General features: G+C 41.4%; 1 long non-coding RNA gene across 1 annotated transcript in view, besides 1 other annotated feature; it reads left to right on the forward strand.

Annotated features, from left to right (window-relative positions):
• The window catches only part of LOC107985172 (uncharacterized), a 76,818-nt gene extending 59,827 nt beyond the window's left edge, over positions 1 to 16,991 (forward strand). The window contains exon 3 of the long non-coding RNA XR_001753512.2: positions 16,559 to 16,991. This is a non-coding gene — a long non-coding RNA (uncharacterized LOC107985172). The remainder of the gene's footprint in view (positions 1 to 16,558) is intronic.
• Positions 16,851 to 17,352: an enhancer, noted in NCBI's record as "H3K4me1 hESC enhancer chr18:75300889-75301390 (GRCh37/hg19 assembly coordinates)". NCBI's record gives its function as "activates a minimal SCP1, AML or CMV promoter by ChIP-STARR-seq in naive H9 embryonic stem cells {active_cell/tissue: H9 hESC(naive)}" and the evidence as "EXISTENCE:reporter gene assay evidence [ECO:0000049][PMID:30033119]".

Here is a 20,109-nt window from a genome sequence, read left to right on the forward strand (position 1 = left end):
TGGGCACCTATCTCTTTAAGCTTTCCAGTAGTGGCTCTCCTCTGTCAAGCAGGGCTGCCGGTAGCAGAGACTGTTATGGGATGAGATTTGCTAGTGGCAGTGGGGAGGACAGGACCCTGGCCACAGGAGGCTGGGTGGGTGAGCAGGGGCAGGTCACAGTGGGACCCAGATGCCTTGCCCCGCACAGAGAGATGGAGACAGCTGAGGGGCATCAAATCTCTAAAAAAAGGTGGGAAAGATGGATGATGGGAGAGTGGGGGAGTCACTCCCACAAAAACTCAACCACTATTGCATTGTTTCTGGGTCTGGGTCAGTTTACAGATCTAGACTCACTGACTGAGGTGTGGCCAGGTCCCCAGGCGGAAGGGCCCTGCAGCCCCATGACATGCAGATATGGAGAGGGTTTCCAGTCTTCCCCAAAGGGACCTTGGCCATTCCTTGGTGTGGGGCTATGTAATGCGTCCACTTGGCTGGGCTGGGAATTCCCAGCGCTCCCTTTCCTGTGGGTGAGAGCAACTCTTCCGGAAGAGGTGGAGGGTGGAAGTGGCGCAGCAGCTCTCTGGAGCCCACAGACTTTGTTGCTTTTGTGTTGGGCAACCTCAAACTGCCCAACTTCCCTGTTACCTCCCTTCAGCAGCTCTAGCTCCTGGCCAGGTGCTTGTACTTCACAATGGAATGAAGGCCTCAGTTGTGCCGGATGCCCACACCACCAAGGTCAGGGCCAAGGGGAACTGACGCCGGGGGCAGCCTGTCCTCATGGCTGCAGCTCCCGCTCCTGAGTTCTGCTGTGCCCATGTTCCCAGACCTAGCGGTTTTGAAATGTTGAAATAATTGTTCATGTGTTCTTTCTTCATATACAGCCAAGGTTGCTGAACAACTGTTTTTTAAGAAGTCTTTAGTCACAATTGTGGCTTTCTGCTACTGTTATTAATTGGCTTTAAATTATGTTCCAGAATATTGCCTCTGTTGGATTCAGGCAAGTTTAATAGTTCCCATTCAAATGCAGACACACACATATGCGGCCTTCTCTCTTGAATGCTGCTCTATGGCCAACTCCAAGCTTCATAATAACCCACCAGTACCCCAGACCCAGCCGTAGCAAACATTTCTTGGTACATAAGATCCAGCATTTCAATGGTGTTTTGTTTTCTTTCCTTCTTACTTTCTTTTCCCCAGAGAGCAAGATCTCATCCCTAGCTACTTCTTTGCACAGCAGCATATAATGTAGGCACCAACATGCTTATTGAATTCTGCAGATGTTGTCTATGTGATTAGTTTATCTGTTATGCTGATTTAGTGATGACTCGGTGGCCAGACCTTAAATAATTCTGAAAGCAATACCTCTCAGAGATAAACAGGAGTTGTGGTTTTCAAGCGTTGTTTATTTCTTTAGAAGATTTGCATTGAAAGCAGGATAGAAAACACTAAGGACCACCAACTCCAGCTGATCCATTCTAAAGCTGGAACATAAATTAGTGACAATAGTGAATTCTCACTTGATAAATAAATACAAAGGAGATTTGGATGATTTTTCTTCTGCCTTAGCAATTGAACAGTGCAGGGCTGTGTGTGATGCCAACAGTGACGCGTGTGTTATGTTAGAGCCAAAACACTCATTTAGTTATGAATCAAAATGTGTAAAAAGCAAGAGTAACAACAACTGAAAATTCCTAGACCACCTCATGACAACAGTGATAATAAACTGATTTTTGGAAAACCTATTTTGAAAACACAGCTGGGGGATACCAACTGTCTACGTAGATGCACAGTGAGAGTTTGACAATATTTCCAAGAGTTGCATAGCAGCCAGATTTCTTAGAAAAGTACTTAGCAAGACATTTCAGTAAATCCTGCTAAAGCAGTCATTGCAACTATAAATGGCAAATATTATGAATCCTAAATTTTGGTACTTAACTAGAATGAAGACTTTGTCAAATATACAACTGAAAGTTCTTAGAATTATGAAGCGTTTTCCCCTAAAAACAGAAGGAAAAGACTGCGTTTTCATCAGAAGAACCTGCAGGCTCCACGAGCCTCATGTCGTGTTTGGATGCTTATTGTTCTCAGATGCTATTACTGGGTGAATGACGCACTGGCCTGCATAATTCTTCATAGTCCATTCTGATCCTTCCTTCCACATCTACAATATCTGATGGAAAAGGACACTTTCATCTGGACAATTAAGCCTGGGAAAGTATTCATTTCCTTCCTTCCTTCAACAAATAGTCACTGAATGTCTTCAAGATGCCCATTGCTGTGCTGGAGAGTGGGATGCTGTGTGAGAACCAGAGGAGCATCAGGACCTTGGGTCTGATATGGTTTGGAGCTGTGTCCCCACCCAAATCTCATGTCAAAATATAATTCTCAGTGTTGGGGGTGGGGCCTGGTGGGAGGTGATTGGATCATGGGGGTGGTTGCTTCATAAATAGTTTAGCACCTTCTCCTCAGTGCTGTTCTTGTGTTGGTGAGTGAGTTCTCATGAGATCTGGTTGTGTAAAAGTGTGTAGCACCTCCTTGCTCTCTCTTCCTCCTGCTCCAGCCATGTAAATTGCTGGCTCCCCCATTGCCTTCCGCCATGATTGTAAGTTTCCAGAGGTCTCCCCAAAAGCCAAGCAGGTGCTGCCATGCTTTTTGTATGGCCTGCAGAATCGTGAGCCATTTCAACCTCATTTCTTTAGAAATTATCCAGTCTCCTTTATAGCAGTATGAGAACTGATAAATACAGGGTCCTTCTATAATAAGAGAATGAGAAGCATTAGACAAGCAATCACGTTGATAAATAGCTGCTAATGGAAACAGGCTATGGAGGAACATTCCAAGTGTTATTAAGATGTACAACACTTAGACAGCTCCTGATTGAGTGCTCAAGGAAGACCACCTTAATGTATTATTATGAATATTAGTTAACCTGGGTGGGGGATAGATTTGGAGGAATGGGGCATGTTGAAATCTCCAAAGAAGAAATAGAGAGTTCTATTAGATAGATGTAAAGAAGGCCAGCATGCAATGCCAAGAAAATCCAGGAAGGAGGACAGGTTGGGAAACAACTGGAGAATCAGAAAGAAGCAGCAGACTGCCAGAAGCTTACAAGACCTGCTAAGGATTTTTACCATCATTCTAAGCATGACATGAACCCAGTGAAATATCTGGAGCAGAGAAATAATGCAACTAGATTTGCATACAAAGATTAAAAAAAATCATTCGGCATGAAGTGTGAAGAAGGCATGAGGAAAGGTTAGAGTGGGTGTGGACAGCCCAGAGGGATTCGACAGGAGTCCAGGGAGAGATGAGAACAGAAGGAATGGAGAGGGGTGGAGAGACCCAGAGGGAAAAGGACTGTAGGATTCATTGCATTTATTGGAGTGGTAGAGAGGTGTAAGGGACAAAGGGGCTTGAAGTGAAGCCAATCACTTATGTCCCTAACACACCCCTTCTCCCATTCCTCGGTTGGAGATTCTCAGAATCTGGGCATGCTTGGGGAAAGTGTTGTACAAACAAATTGAACATCAATAACTTCATCGATAATCAGTAACATCAAGTTCTTGGACAGGAACATGACCGCTGCTGCGCCCCCCTTTCGGCTGCCAGGCTTATTCCTCTTGATTAAGCACGATGTGCACATTGCTGCTCTGGTCTGGGACCAGGACCCCAACTCCATGCCTTCTTCTCCTAGGCCCTGCAGCTTTCTCTCCCCTGAAGGTCATACCAGAAGAAAAATGCTTCTCTCTTATTGTCTTGTGTCCTCCTAAGATCCAATTTAAAAAGTGAGACTCTAATTGCTCCTGAATGAACTACTTTAACTTATTTAGGGGGAAAAATTTAATAAATCAGAACATTCTTTGGACTGAGTCATCGTGATAAGTACAGAGTTATTCTTGGTTCATGATACACATGGAGCCAAAACATAGTTCTTGCTTGAAAATAAACAATATAACTTTGTCCTTATTCTCTAAGAGGAAGAAAAACCAAATAATAGTAATGTACTAGGAAAATTTCCATAAATACATTGATATCTCTTATACCATTTTATTTAAATCTTAAGTTGATACAAACACAAATAGAATCATACAAAAATTTTCATATAAGAACAATTTAACATATTTCTTATACAGCTAAATATATTAATCCCTTCTGTAAGCCTTACAGGATATTTTGCATATTAATGTAACTATTTTATAGCACATGTTTATTCAGTCATCAGTGTAACGGGTACCTACTGAGCTCCAATTACTTGTGAAAATGACACAGGGCTAATTTGTCCGTACTTCATCATTTATCCAATTTGTTCCATGAAGAGGTATGACTGTTGGCTGTATCTGGTGTATTATGTTGAATAACCAAGATAGAAGGTCTAATAAGGCTTGATTTCTGACATTAAGAAATGAGAGGTCTAGTGTATGTCTTACTTTACTACTTTAGGTGAATATTTCATGACAAGTAAATATTTTTTAAAAACTTTGACTTCTCAGGCCACAGAGAAACTCTCAAGAAAACCAAGTTTAGCTTACAGGTATTTCTAGCATCTGTGAGTTGTTAAAGACTCCCAAACCATAAAATTAGATCTTTAAAAACATGCAAAAAGGAACAGACAAGCTGAAGGGTTAATAATGAGAAGCACGTGCTTACTCTCTGTGCTTTAACCACATGGACACTGTTGTCACTGCTACTAATGCTCACGTTTTCAGGTTTCTATTTCTGGTGTGGGTGACACTGCTCTTTCTTTAGAAAACATACTTTAAATGGCTTAGGGAGTAAATGTGGTAAAATGAATACAAAATAAGTAGGAAGATGAATGAACAATTCAATATTATATTCCAGAGAAGATAAAAATAAAAAGCTAAGCAATTAACACTACACTTAAAAGATGAGTGTGTTGTAGTTGACCACAGGTACCAGGGCTCCCTGTATTCTGACACCCAAGTGCTAGACACATTTCTGCTTTTAGCAGGCCTGCAGAATCATCTGAGTTTACAGATATATGCATGCAATTGAATTAGTGTGCAGACATGCATTCTCTGCCATGTCAGCTGAGAAGACGATGAGGCCTAGGGGCAGTGGCCATCCAGCAGCCGTATGAACCTAGTGTGCAGATCTTGGTTTCTAAGGCCATTCTCCCATAAAAGGTGCCAGGGCGCCTTGGATAAATGGCTGATGCTAGGACTAGGGCAGGAAATATCCAAGGTAATCTTGGTGCATATTGTTGCCAGAAAGCAAGGAAGTGCTCAACACATGCACACATGCAAACTCAGACACGCACACTCACACAGCATATGTCAAGAGACACAGGAGTCAACTGAAGGGCTCGGAATAGCCAAGTAGGGAACAATGAAAGCAAGAGAACAAACCATGTGGTCCTAGATTATAACCCAAAGTATACAATAAATGTCCATGGGTCCATACTGATATGAAAATGATATCAACAAGTAACTAAACAAAGCAGAATAGCCAACTGTCCTGTGTAGAAGAATTCAAAATAATTTATACAAATATTCCATTCTCAGGAGGAGGGTCATCACTCCCCACCCTTCAGCGTGGGCTGTGAAGAGGAACTTCCTTCTTAAGAGTACAGCATGGGCAGTGAGACGAGATCACACCACTGCACTCCAGCCTGGTAACAGAATGAGACTACATCTCAAAAAAAAAAAAAAAAAAAAAAAAAAAAAGGATGGTTGCTTCCAAGATGGCCAAATAGGAACAGCTCTTGTCTGCAGCTCCCAGGGAGATCAACACAGAAGACAGGTGATTTCTGCATTTCCAACTGAGGTACCTGGTTCATCTCACTGGGACTGACTGGTTGGACTGTAGGTGCAGCCCACAGAGAGCAAGACGAAGCAGAGTGGGGTGTCACATCACCTAGGAAGTGCAAGGGTTCAGGGGATTTCCCTTTTCTAGCCAAGGGAAGCCGTGAGAGACTGTACCTGGAGGAACAGTATACTCTTGCCCAAATACTGTGCTTTTCCCATGGTATTAGCAACTGACAGACCAGGAGATTCCCTCCTGTGCCTGGCTCAGTGTGTCCCATGCCCACAGTCTTGCTCACTGTTAGCGCAGCAGTCTGAGATCAACCTGCTAGGCTGCAGCCTGACAGGGGGAGGAGCATCTGCCATTGCTGAGGCTTGAGTATTAAACAAAGCGGCTGGGAAGCTTGAACTGGGCAGAGCCCACCGCAGCTCAGCAGTGCCTACTGCCTCTCAAGAATCTACCTCTGTGGGCAGGGCATACCTGAACAAAAGGCAGCAGACAACATCTGCAGACTTAAACGTCCCTGTCTGACAGCTCTGAAGAGAGTAGTGTTTCTCCCAGCATGGCATTTGAGCTCTGAGAACAGACAGACTGCCTCCTCAAGCAGGCCTCTGACCCCCATGTAGCCTGTCTAGGGGACACCTCCCAGAAGGGGCCGACAGACACCTCATACAGGCAGGTGCGCCTCTGGGACGAAGCTTCGAGAGGTAGGAGCAGGCAGCAATATTTGCTGTTCTGCAATATTTGCTGTTCTGCAGCCTCTGCTGGGGAAGACTGAGGGTCTGGAGTGGACCTCCAGCAAACTCCAACGGACCTGCTGCTGAGGGGCCTGACTGTTAGAAGGAAAACTAACAAACAGAAAAGAATAGCATCAACATCAACAAAAAGGACATCCACACCAAAACCCCATCTGTAGGTCACCAACATCAAAGACCAAAGGTAGAATAAACCACAAAGATGGGTAGAAACCAGAGCAGAAAGGCTGAAAATTCCAAAAACCAGAGTGCCTTTTCTCCTCCAAAGGACTGCAGCTTCTCACCAGCAACAGAACAAAACTGGAGGGTGAATGAGCTTGACGAGTTGACAGAAGTAGGCTTCAGAAGGTTGGTAATAACAAACTTCTCGGAGCTAAAAGAAGGATGTTTGAACCCATGGCAAGGAAGCTAAAAACCTTGAAAAAAGGTTAGACGAATGGCTAACTAGAATAAACAGTGTAGAGAAGACCTTAAATGACCTGATGGAGCTAAAAACCGCAGCATGAGAACTTCGTGATGCATGCACAAGCTTCAATAGCCAATTCGATCAAGTGGAAGAAAGAATATCAGTGACTGAAGATCAAATTAATGAAATAAAGCGAGAAGACAAAATTAGAGAAAAATGAGTGAAAAGAAACGAACAAAGCTTCCATGAAATATGCAATTCTGTAAAAAGACCAAATCTCCGTTTGATTGGTGTACCTGAAAGTGACAGTGAGAATGGAACCAAGTTAGAAAACACTCTTCAGGATATTATCCAGGAGAACTTCCCAACCTAGAAAGGCGGGCCAACATTCAAATTCAGGAAATACAGAGAACACCACAAAGATACTCCTCTAGAAGAGCAACCCCAAGACACATAATTGTCAGATTCACCAAGGTTGAAATAAACGGAAAAATGTTAAGGGCAGCCAGAGAGAAAGGTCAGATTACCCACAAAGGCAAGCCCATCAGACTAACAGTGCATCTCTCGGCAGAAACCCTACAAGCCAGAAGAGAGTGGGGGCCAATATTCAACATTCTTAAAGAAAAGAATTTTCAACCCAGAATTTCATCTCCAGCCAAACTAAGCCTTCATAAGTGAAGGAGAAATAAAATCTTTTACAGACAAGCAAATGCTGAGAGATTTTGTAACCACCAGACCTGCCTTACAAGAGCTCTTGAAGGAAGCACTAAACATGGAAAGGAAGAACCGGTACCTGCCACTGCAAAAACATGCCAAATTATAAAGACCATCAATGCTATGAAGAAACTGCATCAATTAACAGGCAAAATAACCAGCTAATATCATAATGACAGGATCAAATTCACACATAACAATATTAACCTTAAATGTAAATGGACTAAATGCCCCAATTAAAACACACAGACTGGCAAATTGAATAAAGAGTCAAGACCCATCAGTGTGCTGTATTCAGGAGACCCATCTCATGTGCAGAGACACACATAGGCTCAAAATAAAGGGATGTAGGAAGCTCCACCAATGGAAAGCAAAAAAAAAAACAAAAAAGGAGGGGTTGCAATACTAGTCTCTGATAAAACAGACTTTGAACCAACAAAGATCAAAAGAGACAAAGAAGGCCATTACATAATGGTAAAGGGATCAATTCAACAAGAAGAGCTAACTATCCTAAATATATATGCACCCAATACAGGAGCACTGAGATTCGTAAAGCAAGTCCTTAGAAACCTACAAAGATACTTAGACTCCCAAACAATAATAATGGGAGGCCATAACACCCCACTGTCAATATTAGACAGATCAACGAGACAGAATGTTAACAAGGATATCCAGCACTTGAACTCAGCTCTGCACCAAGCAGATCTAATAGACATCTACAGAACTCTCCACACCAAATCAACAGAATATACATTCTTCTCAACACCACATTGCAGTTATTCTAAAACTGACCACGTAATTGGTAGTAGAACACTCCTCAGCAAATGGAAAAGAACGGAAATCACAAAAAACTGTCTCTCAGACCACAGTGCAATCAAATTAGAACTCAGGATTAAGAAACTCACTCAAAACTGCACAACTGCATGGAAACTGAACAACCTGCTCCTGAATGACTGCTGGGTAAATAACGAAATGAAGGCAGAAATAAAGATGTTCTTTGAAACCAATGAGAACAAAGACACAATATCTCTGGGACACATTTAAAGCAGTGTATAGAGGGAAATTTATAGCACTAAATGCCCACAAGAGAAAACAGGAAAGATCTAAAATTGACACCCTAACATCACAATTAAAAGAACTAGAGAAGCAAGAGCAAACACATTCAAAAGCTAGCAGAAGGCAAGAAATAACTAAGATCAGAGCAGAACTGAAGGAGATAGAGACACAAAAAACCCTTCAAAAAATCAGGGAATCCAGGAGCTGGTTTTTTGAAGAGATCAACAAAATAGATAGACTGCTAGCAAGACTAATAAAGAAGAAAAGAGAGAAGAATCAACTAGATGCAATAAAAAAAGATAAAGGAGATATCACCACTGATCCCACAGAAATACAAACTACCATCAGAGAATACTATAAACATCTTTATGCAAATAATCTAGAAAATCTAGAAGAAATGGATAAATTCCTGGACACATACACCCTCCCGAGACTAAACCAGGAAGAAGTTGAATCTCTGAATAGACCAATAACAGGTTTTGAAATTGAGGCAATAATTAACAGCTTACCAACTAAAAAGTCCAGGACCAGATGGATTCACAGCAGAATTCTACCAGAGGTACAAAGAGGAGCTGGTACCATTCCTTTTGAAACTATTCCAATCAATAGAAAAAGAGGGAATCCTCCCTAACTCATTTTATGAAGCCAGCATCATCCTGATACCAAAGCCTGGCAGAGACACAACAAAAAAAAAATTTTAGACCAATATTCCTGATGAACATCAATGTGAAAATCCTCAATAAAATACTGGCAAACTGAATCCAGCAGCACATCAAAAAGCTTATCTACCACGATCAAGTGGGCTTCATCCCTGGGATGCAAGGCTGGTTTGACAGACACAAATCAATAAACATAGTCTATCACATAAACAAAACCAAAGACAAAAACCACATGATTATCTCAATAGATGCAGAAAAGGCCTTCAACAAAATTCAACAGCCTTCATGCTAAAAACTCTCAGTAAACTAGGTATTGATGGAATGTATCTCAAAATAATAAGAGCTATTTATGACAAACCCACAGCCAATATCATACTGAATGGGCAAAAACTGGAAGCATTCCTTTTGAAAACCAGCACAAGACAAAGATGCCCTCTCTCACCACTCCTATTCAACATAGTGTTGGAAGTTCTGGCCAGGGCAATCAGGCAAGAGAAAGAGATAAAGCGTATTCAGTTAGGAAAAGAGGAAGTCAAATTGTCCCTGTTTGTGGATGACATGATTGTATATTTAGAAAGCCCCATCCTCTCAGCCCAAAATCTCCTTAATCTGATACTCAACTTCAGCGGAATCTCAGGATACAAAATCGATGTGCAAAAATCACAAGCGTTTCTATACACCAAAAACAGACAAACAGAGAGCCAAATCATGAGTGAATTCCCATTCACAATTGCTGCAGAGAGAATAAAATACCTAGGAATCCAACTTACAAGGGATGTGAAGGACCTCTTCAAGGAGAACTACAAACCACTGCTCAATGAAATAAAAGAGGACACAAACAAATGGAAGAACATTCCATGCTCATGGATAGGAAGAATCAATATTGTGAAAAGGTAATTCATACATTCAGTGGTATCCCCATCAAGCTACCAATGACTTTCTTCACAGAATTGGAAAAAACTACTTTAAAGTTCATATGGAACCAAAAAAGAGCCCATATTGCCGAGACAATCCTAAGCAAAAAGAACAAAGCTGGAGGCATCACGCTACCTGACTTCAAACTATACTGCAAGGCTACAGTAATGAAATCAGCATGGCACGTGTACTAAAACAGATATATAGACCAATGGAACAGAATAGAGGCCTCAGGAATAACATCACACATCTACAATCATCTGATTTTTGACAAACCTGAGAAAAACAAGCAATGGGGAAAAGATTCCCTATTTAATAAATGGTTCTGGGAAAACTGGCTAGCCATATGTAGAAAGCTGAAACTGGATCCCTTCCTTACACTGTATACAAAAATTAACTCAAGATGGATTAAAGACTTAAATATAAGACCTAAAACCCTAAAAACCGTAGAAGTAAACCTAGACAATACCATTTAGGACGTAGACTTGTGCAAAGACTTCGTGACTAAAACACCAAAAGCAATGGAAACAAAAGCCAAAATTGACAAATGGAATCTAATTAAACTAAAGAGCTTCTGAACAGCAAAAGAAGCTATCATCAGAGTAAACAGGCAACCTACAGAATGGGAGAAAACTTTTGCAATCTACCCATCTGAGAAAGGGCTAATACCCAGATTCTACAAAGAACTTAAACAAATTTACAAGAAAAAAACCCATCAAAAAGTGGGCAAAGGATATGAACAGACAGTTCTCAAAAGAAGACATTTATGCAGCCAACAGACACATGAAAAAATGCTCATCATCACTGGTCATCAGTGAAATGCAAATCAAAACCACATGAGATACCATCTCACACCAGTTAGAATGGTGATCATTAAAAAGTCAGGAAACAACAGATGCTGGAGAGGATGTGGAGAAATAGGAACTCTTTTACACTGTTGGTGGGAGTGTAAATTAGTTCAACCATTTTGGAAGACAGAGTGGTGATTCTTCAAGGATCTAGAACTAGAAATACCATTTGACCCAGCAATCCCATTACTGGGTATATACCCAAAGGATTATAAATCATGCTACTATAAAGACACATGCACGTGCATGTTTATTGAGGCACTATTCACAATAACAAAGACTTGGAACCAACCCAAATGTCCATCACTGATAGACTGGATTAAGAAAATGTGGCACATATACACCATGGAATACTATGCAGCCATAAAAAAAGATGAGTTCATGTTCTTTTCAGGGACATGGATGAAGCTGGAAACCATCATTCTCAGCAAACTATCACAAGGACAGAAAACCAAATACCACATGTTCTTACTCATAGGTGGGAGTTGAACAATGAGAACACATGGACACAGGGCGAGGAACAGCACACTCTGGGACCTGTTGGGGGTTGGAGGGCTGGGGGAGGGATAGCATTAGGAGAAATACCTAATGTAAATGACGAGTTGATGGGTGCAGCAAACCAACATGGCACATGTATACCTATGTAACAAACCTGCACGTTGTGCACATGTACCCTAGAACTTGAAGTATAATAATAATAATAATAATAAAGAGTACAGCGTGGGACAGGGAAAAAAGAGTACTTCACTGTTTTGAAACTTGAGAAAAAATGGAGGTGATGGTGGTTGACATTACCAGTGACCAGTCCTGCTGATGGTGTGGAGCTTTGCTATGACCTGCAGGGGTGAATGCTCTGTGATCTTCCTCCTGAGAAGCCCAGAAACCCAACCTAATCATGAGAACTACATCAGACAAGTCCAGATTGACAGACATTCTGACCAGTTCTCAAAGATGTCAAGGTCATCAAAAACGAGGAATGTCTGTGAAACTCCCACACCTAGGGAGCCCCATGGAACAGGAATGTTAAACATAACGTGTCCCGGGTGGGATTCTGGAATACAGAAAGGATACTGGGCAAAAACTAAGAAACCTGAATAAAGAATGGACTTGATTTAACAAAAATGTGTTCAAATCAACAAGACTTAATAAAAGGGGAAATTGGATGTGGGATAGCAAGAGCTCTCTGTACTATCTGTACATTTTTTTCCTGTAAATATGTTTTCTAAAATGTTTCTTAAAAATTTTTAAATGTATTATGGTTATGATTTAAAATATTATAATCCATTTAAGAAACATTCTGTAGTTTTTATAAAGGGGTACTATGTCTGGGATCTGCTTTGATACACATCAGAGTCACGTGTATGAGGTTATGAATGGAACAAGGTTAACAAAATGAGCTATTGAAGCTGGATAATGGACCTCTTAAACTATCTTTTAAAAAATGGCAGATAATACTTGTACATATTTATGGGGTATGTACTGATGTTGTGACACATATCATATAAAGCAATCAGATCAGAGTAATTAGAATATCTATCATCTCAAACATTGATCGTTTTTTTGTATTGGGAACATTCAATATCCTCCTTCTATTTAAAACTATGTATTATTGTTAACTACTTTTATGATAAAATAGTGGTATAATAATACAAAAACCTTGAAAATGAAAGGGCGCAATTCAAAGAAAAAATATTGTAAATAACTAACAAGCATATGGAAAAATGTTTAACTTATCACAGCACAACTGTCTTTATTAAAGACATACGATCTTTATTAAAGTGACTGAGAAATACTTTACAAGAACGCCGTCTGATCACATGGTATCTATTTGTCATGCAGCCTACAATAGATATGTAGGCATTGATATGGAAAGACATTCAAGCTCTTTTAAATGAAAAAGACACCGATGAAACAGATTTTAAAATGTGAGGTGATACTTCTAAATATGTTTGAAAATATGCACAGTAAAATAAAAGTGTAATATATCAATCACATTGTTACCAATGTTTGGGATTGGGATTAGAAGGAATCATGTTTCATTTAATAAAATATTTCACTTAAAAAGAATGGGATTCAATACCATAAAATAAAATTAAAATCCAAAGAAAACATGTTTATTGCAGGATTATTTACTTAAAAAAACAACTGAATGGAACTAAGACACCCAGAATCTACAAAGAACTCAAACAAATTTACAAGAAAAAAACAAACAACCCCATCAAAAAGTGGGCAAAGGATATGAACAGACACTTCTCAAAAGAAGACATTTATGCAGCCAAAAGACACATGGAAAAATGCTCATCATCACTGGCCATCAGAGAAATGCAAATCAAAACCACAATTAGATACCATCTCACACCAGTTAGAATGGCGAACATTAAAAAGTCGGGAAAAAACAGGTGCTGGAGAGGATGTGGAGAAATAGGAACACTTTTACACTGTTGGTGGGACTGTAAACTAGTTCAACCATTGTGGAAGTCAGTGTGGCAATTCCTCAGGGATCTAGAACTAGAAATACCATTTGACCCAGCAATCCCATTACTGGGTATACACCCAAAGGATTATAAATCATGCTGCTCTAAAGACACATGCACACGTATGTTTATTGCAGCACTATTCACAATAGCAAAGACTTGGAACCAACCCAAATGTCCAACAATGATAGATTGGATTAAGAAAATGTGGCACATATACACCATGGAATACTATGCAGCCATAAAAAATGATGAGTTCATGTCTTTTGTAGGGACATGGATGAAGCTGGAAACCATCATTCTCAGCAAACTATCACAAGGACAAAAAACCAAACACCGCATGTTCTCACTCATAGGCGGGAATTGAACAATGAGAACACTTGGACACAGGAAGGGGAACATCACACCCCAGGGCCTGTTATGGGGTGGGGGGAGAGGGGAGGGATAGCATTAGGAGATATACCTAATGTAAATGACGAGTTAATGGGTGCAGCACACCAACATGGCACATGTATACATATGTAACAAACCTGCATGTTGTGCACATGTACCCTAAAACTTAAAGTATAATAATAATAAAAAAGAACTAAGACACTTGTCAAAATTAAAATGTACAGCAATTATTGTGTGTGTGTGAAGCATCAGGCTGCAACTCTGAGCCAACTAGTTCCAGACCAGCTGCTGATCTTAGAGTTTATTGCAGTAGAAATAGATGTTCATAAGACATTGCCTCAAATGTGTATTGGCAAATTATGGCACTATGAGGAAAAAAAATGACCTTGAGAGAATCCTTCAGGTAATCCTGACTTTCCCTGGTCATATGATTTGGCTGTGTCCCCACCCAAATCTCATCTTGAATTGTAGCTCCCATAATTCCCTCATGTTGTGGGAGGGACCCCATGGGAGATAATTGAATCATGAGGGCAGTTTCCCTCATATGTTCTGATGGTAGTTAATAAGTCTCATGAGATTTGATGGTTTTATAAGGGGAACCCCTTTAGCTTGGCTCTCATTCTCTTTGCTTGTCTGCCACCATGTGAGATTTGCCTTTTGCCTTCTGTCATGATTGCCTCACCAGCCACGTGAAAATCTGAGTCCATTAAACCTCTTTCTTTTGTAAATTGCCCAGTCTCAGGTATGCCTTTATCAGCAGTGTGAAAATAGACTAATACACCTGGGAATAAAACTAGTCTTTTTTGAAGATGTGAAAATTGAGCCAAGTTGTGAAGTTCAAATGAATTTCAGGCAGTGGTTTTCAAAGTGTGGTCCCTGGACCAGCAGCATCACCATCTCCCAGGAACGTGGTAGAGCAGCAGACTCCAGGGTCGCACTGCAGACTTACAGAATCTGCCACTCAGGGTGGGGCCCAGGGTCCTCTGTGCTAATATCCAGATGATTCAGATGCAGGTTGAGTTTAGGGCGAAAGAGCTTGGGTGAAGGTAAAAAGAGCTTCAGGTAGACCTTTGGATAATTATATATGTAAAGACACTTCTGTGAATAAAATGTTGTATTTTCTTTGAGTTCAATTGAATAGTGACATTTGTTTATTTTCTTGTGTTCTTCACAAGGATCTTGCAACTATATTTATAAAACTAGGGCACGATGAAATTAAATGCCTGCTTTCAATTTAATGAGAAATTTCTTTTCAATTCTCCTTCTTGCAGATTAGTATTTAACATTCAAACATAAACAATATACAATAAATAATAAAAAATGATAGATAGGTAATTCAACGGAGCTAAAGAAAGGTAATGGAATCTGAAACCTCCTCTTAATGGGATCCATTATATGACCACAAATACAGTTCCACCCAAGAACCAGGAATATAAATGCAAGACTATAGATCTAAGAAAACAATTTGCTGTCTACAAAAAGAAAAAAACCTTAAAAATTGATAAATATGCATGGATGGGGGCCATCAATCTGTTGCCATTAGAGCTGAATCTAGACACAGGACCCGCTGTTTCTCCTAAGAGATGCTCTCCTTAAGTATCAAGTCACATTGCTGACCAAACATTACATTTACTTCCTTTGACTGGGTTAATTTATGGTTGAGAGAGTGCTGTTGGCTTTTCCTGCTAAGGAATATTTGATACTTATGTTACAAGACTGACGTACTCATCCATGAATGTATTCACTTACTCGCAAGTATTTATTAATGGTCTATGTGCGGGGCACTTTATATGTTATTCTACTAGATATAAACATTAGTAAAACATGATTAATTTCCTCTATAAATTCATAGTCTAACACAAAATAAAATATACTCAGAACTTATATACGCCTAAGTAGATAAATGAATGAAAATCGGAATTTAAACAAGCAAAGAAAGAAACCAGAAAGAAGACACACCAATCTGAAAGCTGATAAATATTAACATGGGAGGCAGAAGCAACATAAGCATTTTTTACTTTGTAGTGGGAATGAAATGGGGATATTTACATGGTTACATTTAATGGGTCAATTATCTTATGGTTTATGCACAGAATAAGCTCTGGCTTAAAACGGATCCACAGATCCATTACAGGGCTCCACTGAAAAGATTATGCTTGCAAACTTCAATTTCTCTTCTTGTATAAGAGCCTCAGTAGATTGATATTATATCTGGAATTTCAATAAGATGCAAAATAATGTCAAAGGTAGCACTTACTCTCAGTGAAGTACTCCATAGAATTGAACCCTGTGTGATATTGGTCTACAGCTTGGTAGCTGTAGATTGCAGCACTCATAGTGATTGCAAATCTCTCTTCATAAGATTTCTAATTCCCTGTTAATACCTAAATGGAACTTCAAAGGCAGGGAGGCTTAATTGTCTCTCTGTAATTTAATACTTCTCTGAGGGACTTGATAAGCTTTAGAAACTATGTGAGAGCAGTCCTATTTCTGTTGTAAATTAAATATAGGCGATTAAGCTTGAGATGTTTTTCCCATGGTATATGTCTTTTCACCAATGTGTTATTTAAAATATGATTGTGTCTTTGGATTTCAGTTCCCAAACAGGACCTGTTCCTTTGAAGATCATCCGCACCGTGAAGATGCCCAGTTCAATGGGTGTGGCTGGGATCACGTATTGCAATAACACAAACAAAAGGAGTTTAAACATGTAATATTCCTATCACCTGAATTATTAAGATAAAATGTCATTTAACTGGAAGGATTCCTGGATATTGTAAGAGAACACGCAGGTCTAGTTCATTCGATTGTTCACACACAGTCCCGTGCACCGTGTGTCAGCATAGGCGAATGGGAAGTTTGCGCGTTGAGTGGGGTGTGAATGGAGAATTTGCCCAAGAGACTTGACCAGCCGTGTTCCCTGCTGTCATCTCAGTATCTATAACAGCATCGGCACATGGCAAGCATTCCATTGAATGAATGGATGACTCCACAGAAAGATATCAAAAGCACAAAGAGTCTTTAGTGGCCAATGGGGTTTTTATCGAATCCGCTTAAGGACTTTGTCAGGAGCAGAGAAGTTCCAAGGAGTTTTGTTTGGCTCATGGCTTTTCTGTAGACCTCTTGTTGGCCCTCGAGGTGCAGCTGATATTTGTGAAGGTAAGCATGGTAGGTGGAATTCTGAGAGGGCCCCCAAGGCGCCCCAGCCCTGAATTAAACGCCCTGTGTGGTGCCCGCCCTGAGTGCAGGTGGGGGCTGTGACCGTGACGGTGCATGGCTCCCATGGTTACACTGCGGGCTGCAGTAAGAATTCTTTGCTGGGCTTGAAGAGACCACCGGCCTTACAGGGACCTGCTGTGGAGGCCACAGGGCAGGGACTCGAGGTTGTCCTCCAGGAGCTGAGGGCGGTAGGCAGCCTACAGCTGTCGAGGACATGGAAACTCAGCCCTACGGCCACAGGCAATGGCTCTGCTGATGCCAATGAGCCTGGAAGAGGACCCTGAGCCTCAGATGGGAGGGACACTCGAGCCAGCCCCTTGACTTCAGCCCGGTGAGACCCAGGAGGACCTAGCAGCTCACACTCAGCCTCCTGACCCAGGGAAGCTGGGAACTGATCAGTGTGTTGTTGTAAACACTAAATTTGCAGTCATTTGTTATGCAGCAAAAGGGAAAAAAAATAGACGTATCCGGATATGTTCAACTTAAAAAGACGCCCACCTACCCGGATACACCTGGGGTGGTGGGTACTGTCTGTCCCTGGGGACGCAAGAAGCCCACACTCTCCAGTCTCCCTGTAGTTATATCAGGGCTCAGTGTCAGTGAGTTAAGGCCAGTGGACTTCAAGACCTTGCCCTTAAAAATATCCCTCAACGGCCGGGCATGTTGGCTCACGCCTGTAATCCCAGCACTTTGGGAGGCCGAGGCAGGCAGATCACCCGAGGTCAGGAGTTTGAGACCAGCCTGGCCAACATGATGAAACCCCGTCTCTACTAAAAATACAAAAAATTAGCCGCTGGGTGTGGTGGCGGGAGCCTGTAGTCCCAGCTACTCGGGAGGCTGAGGCAGGAGAATGGTGTGAACCTGGGAGACGGAGCTTGCAGTGAGCCGAGATCGCACCACTGCACTCCAGCCTAGGCGACAGAGTGAGACTTCATCTCAAAAAAATAAAAATAAAAATAAAACTCTAGTCTCCCATGCAGCCAGCTCTGCGTGAATTACTCCTCATTGCAATCCCTGTGTCTTGAGAAATCAGCTCTGTCTAGAAAGCATGCGAGGTGAACCCACTGGGCAGTTACAAATTATGGGAAAATATACAGGAAAAGATGAGGGAACACAGGCAGCATGACGGAAATAAGGAGACCTCAGGAAAGTTGCGATCCAGCTTATCAGAGCCTGCAGATGCTTAAGGTTTTATTTCTTTACTGTGAATGCCTTTGCATAACAGAGAGCTCGGAGAAAGAATTTACCAGGAGGACATGGTTGATATCCTGTCTCATAATGCTAACTTGTACTTGCCCAGCCTTCAAAAATAGATATTTGGGAGGAGAAGGTGATTGTTCGTTCAACAGAGTTTTCCTGAGTGTAGATTGAACCTGTTTTTATAGCTGTATTGGGGAGAAAATGATGCCCTAAAGTGGAAACCTCAGAAGCAAAGTCTCCCTCTGACATTCTCCTGCCCTCCTGTCTCGGATCCTCATTCTCCCCCAAGGCCACCATAGAAACTAGAATCCATCTTTTCCAAAGTGGGTCATAGAAAACAGAACCTCTTTTCTCAAAGCCAGTCATAAAACCTACAATAATTACTCTAATGTCTCCCTGCCTTTCTGGGTAAGAGTTGGCCTTAAATAAACTATCTGACCTAATTTGCTTGACTGTAGGTTCTAAGACGCTCATTCCAGAGAGGGTCCTGCCCCATGCTTGGGATGAAGAAAACTACACAGACGGGCCTAGAAGACTGAGCAGACAGGCCTTGTGGGTGTAGCTGCCCCAAGGGTTCACCTTGCTTGGGATGAAGGAAACTGCACAGAGGGGCCTAGAAGACTCTGAGCAGACAGGCCTTGCGGGTGTAGCTGCTGTGTGGGTTCACCTGGCCTGCTGCCTAGACAGAGCTGATTTATCGAGACAGGGGAATTGCAATCAAGAGTAATTCATGCAGAGCTGGCTGTGCAGGAGATAGGAGTTCCACTATTATTTAAATCAGCCTCCCTGAGTATTCGGGGATCAGAGGTTTTAAGGATAATTTCATGGATAGGGGGCAGCCAGTGAGTCAGGAATGCTGATTGGCTGGGTCAGAGATGAAATGATAGGGAATCAAAGCTGTCTTGCACTGAGTCAGTTCCTGGGTAGAGGCCGCAAGATCAGATGAGGCAGTTTATGGATCTGGGTGATGCCAGCTTTTCCATCGAGTGCAGGGTCTGCAAAAAGCCTCAAGCGCTGATCCAAAAGCCCCAAAAGCAATTTGGGGAGGGTCAGAATCTTGAAGCCTCCAATTGCATGACCCCTAAGCCATAATTTCTAATCTTTTGGTTAATTTGTTAGTCTTACAAAGGCAGTCTAGTTCCCAGGCAAGAAGGGGGTTTATTTTGGAAAAAGGCTGTTACTGTCTTTGTTTTAAACTAAAAGCTAAGTTCCTCCCAAAGTTAGTTCAGCCTACACCCAGAAATGAACAAGGACAGCTTGCAGGTCAGAAGCAAGATGGAGTTGGTTAGGTCAGATCTCTTTCCCCGCCTCGGTTATAATTTTGCAGTGGCGGTTTTGATGGGTTTCCCCCTACAGCCTATTACTCCTAGATGCTGGTAGTCTATGATTTATTAGATTATACCGCTTTTGTCCCAGCCCACTTCTACACAGCTGGCTCTGCTTCATTGAACCTAAGCATAAAATCAGACCACTTCCTCCATATCTTTGGGTCTTTGATCCGAAAGCTTCTGTGTCACATAAAATTATGATTACATAAATGTGTTCTGCTTTTCTCTTGTTAGCCTGTTTTTGGCTATAGTGGTGTTGGTCATGGCCCTTAGGCTGAGTGAGGAAATGGATCACGTCTTTCTGCCACTGAAATTTGAAGTGGGAGAGACTTCAGCTGAATTCCACACTCAGTGCAATGTGTGAAGGGCATATTTATTTTCAAATGGAAGATATGAACAT

This window comes from Homo sapiens, chromosome 18 (assembly GCF_000001405.40).
Source record: "Homo sapiens chromosome 18, GRCh38.p14 Primary Assembly".
Lineage (NCBI taxonomy): Eukaryota > Metazoa > Chordata > Mammalia > Primates > Hominidae > Homo > Homo sapiens.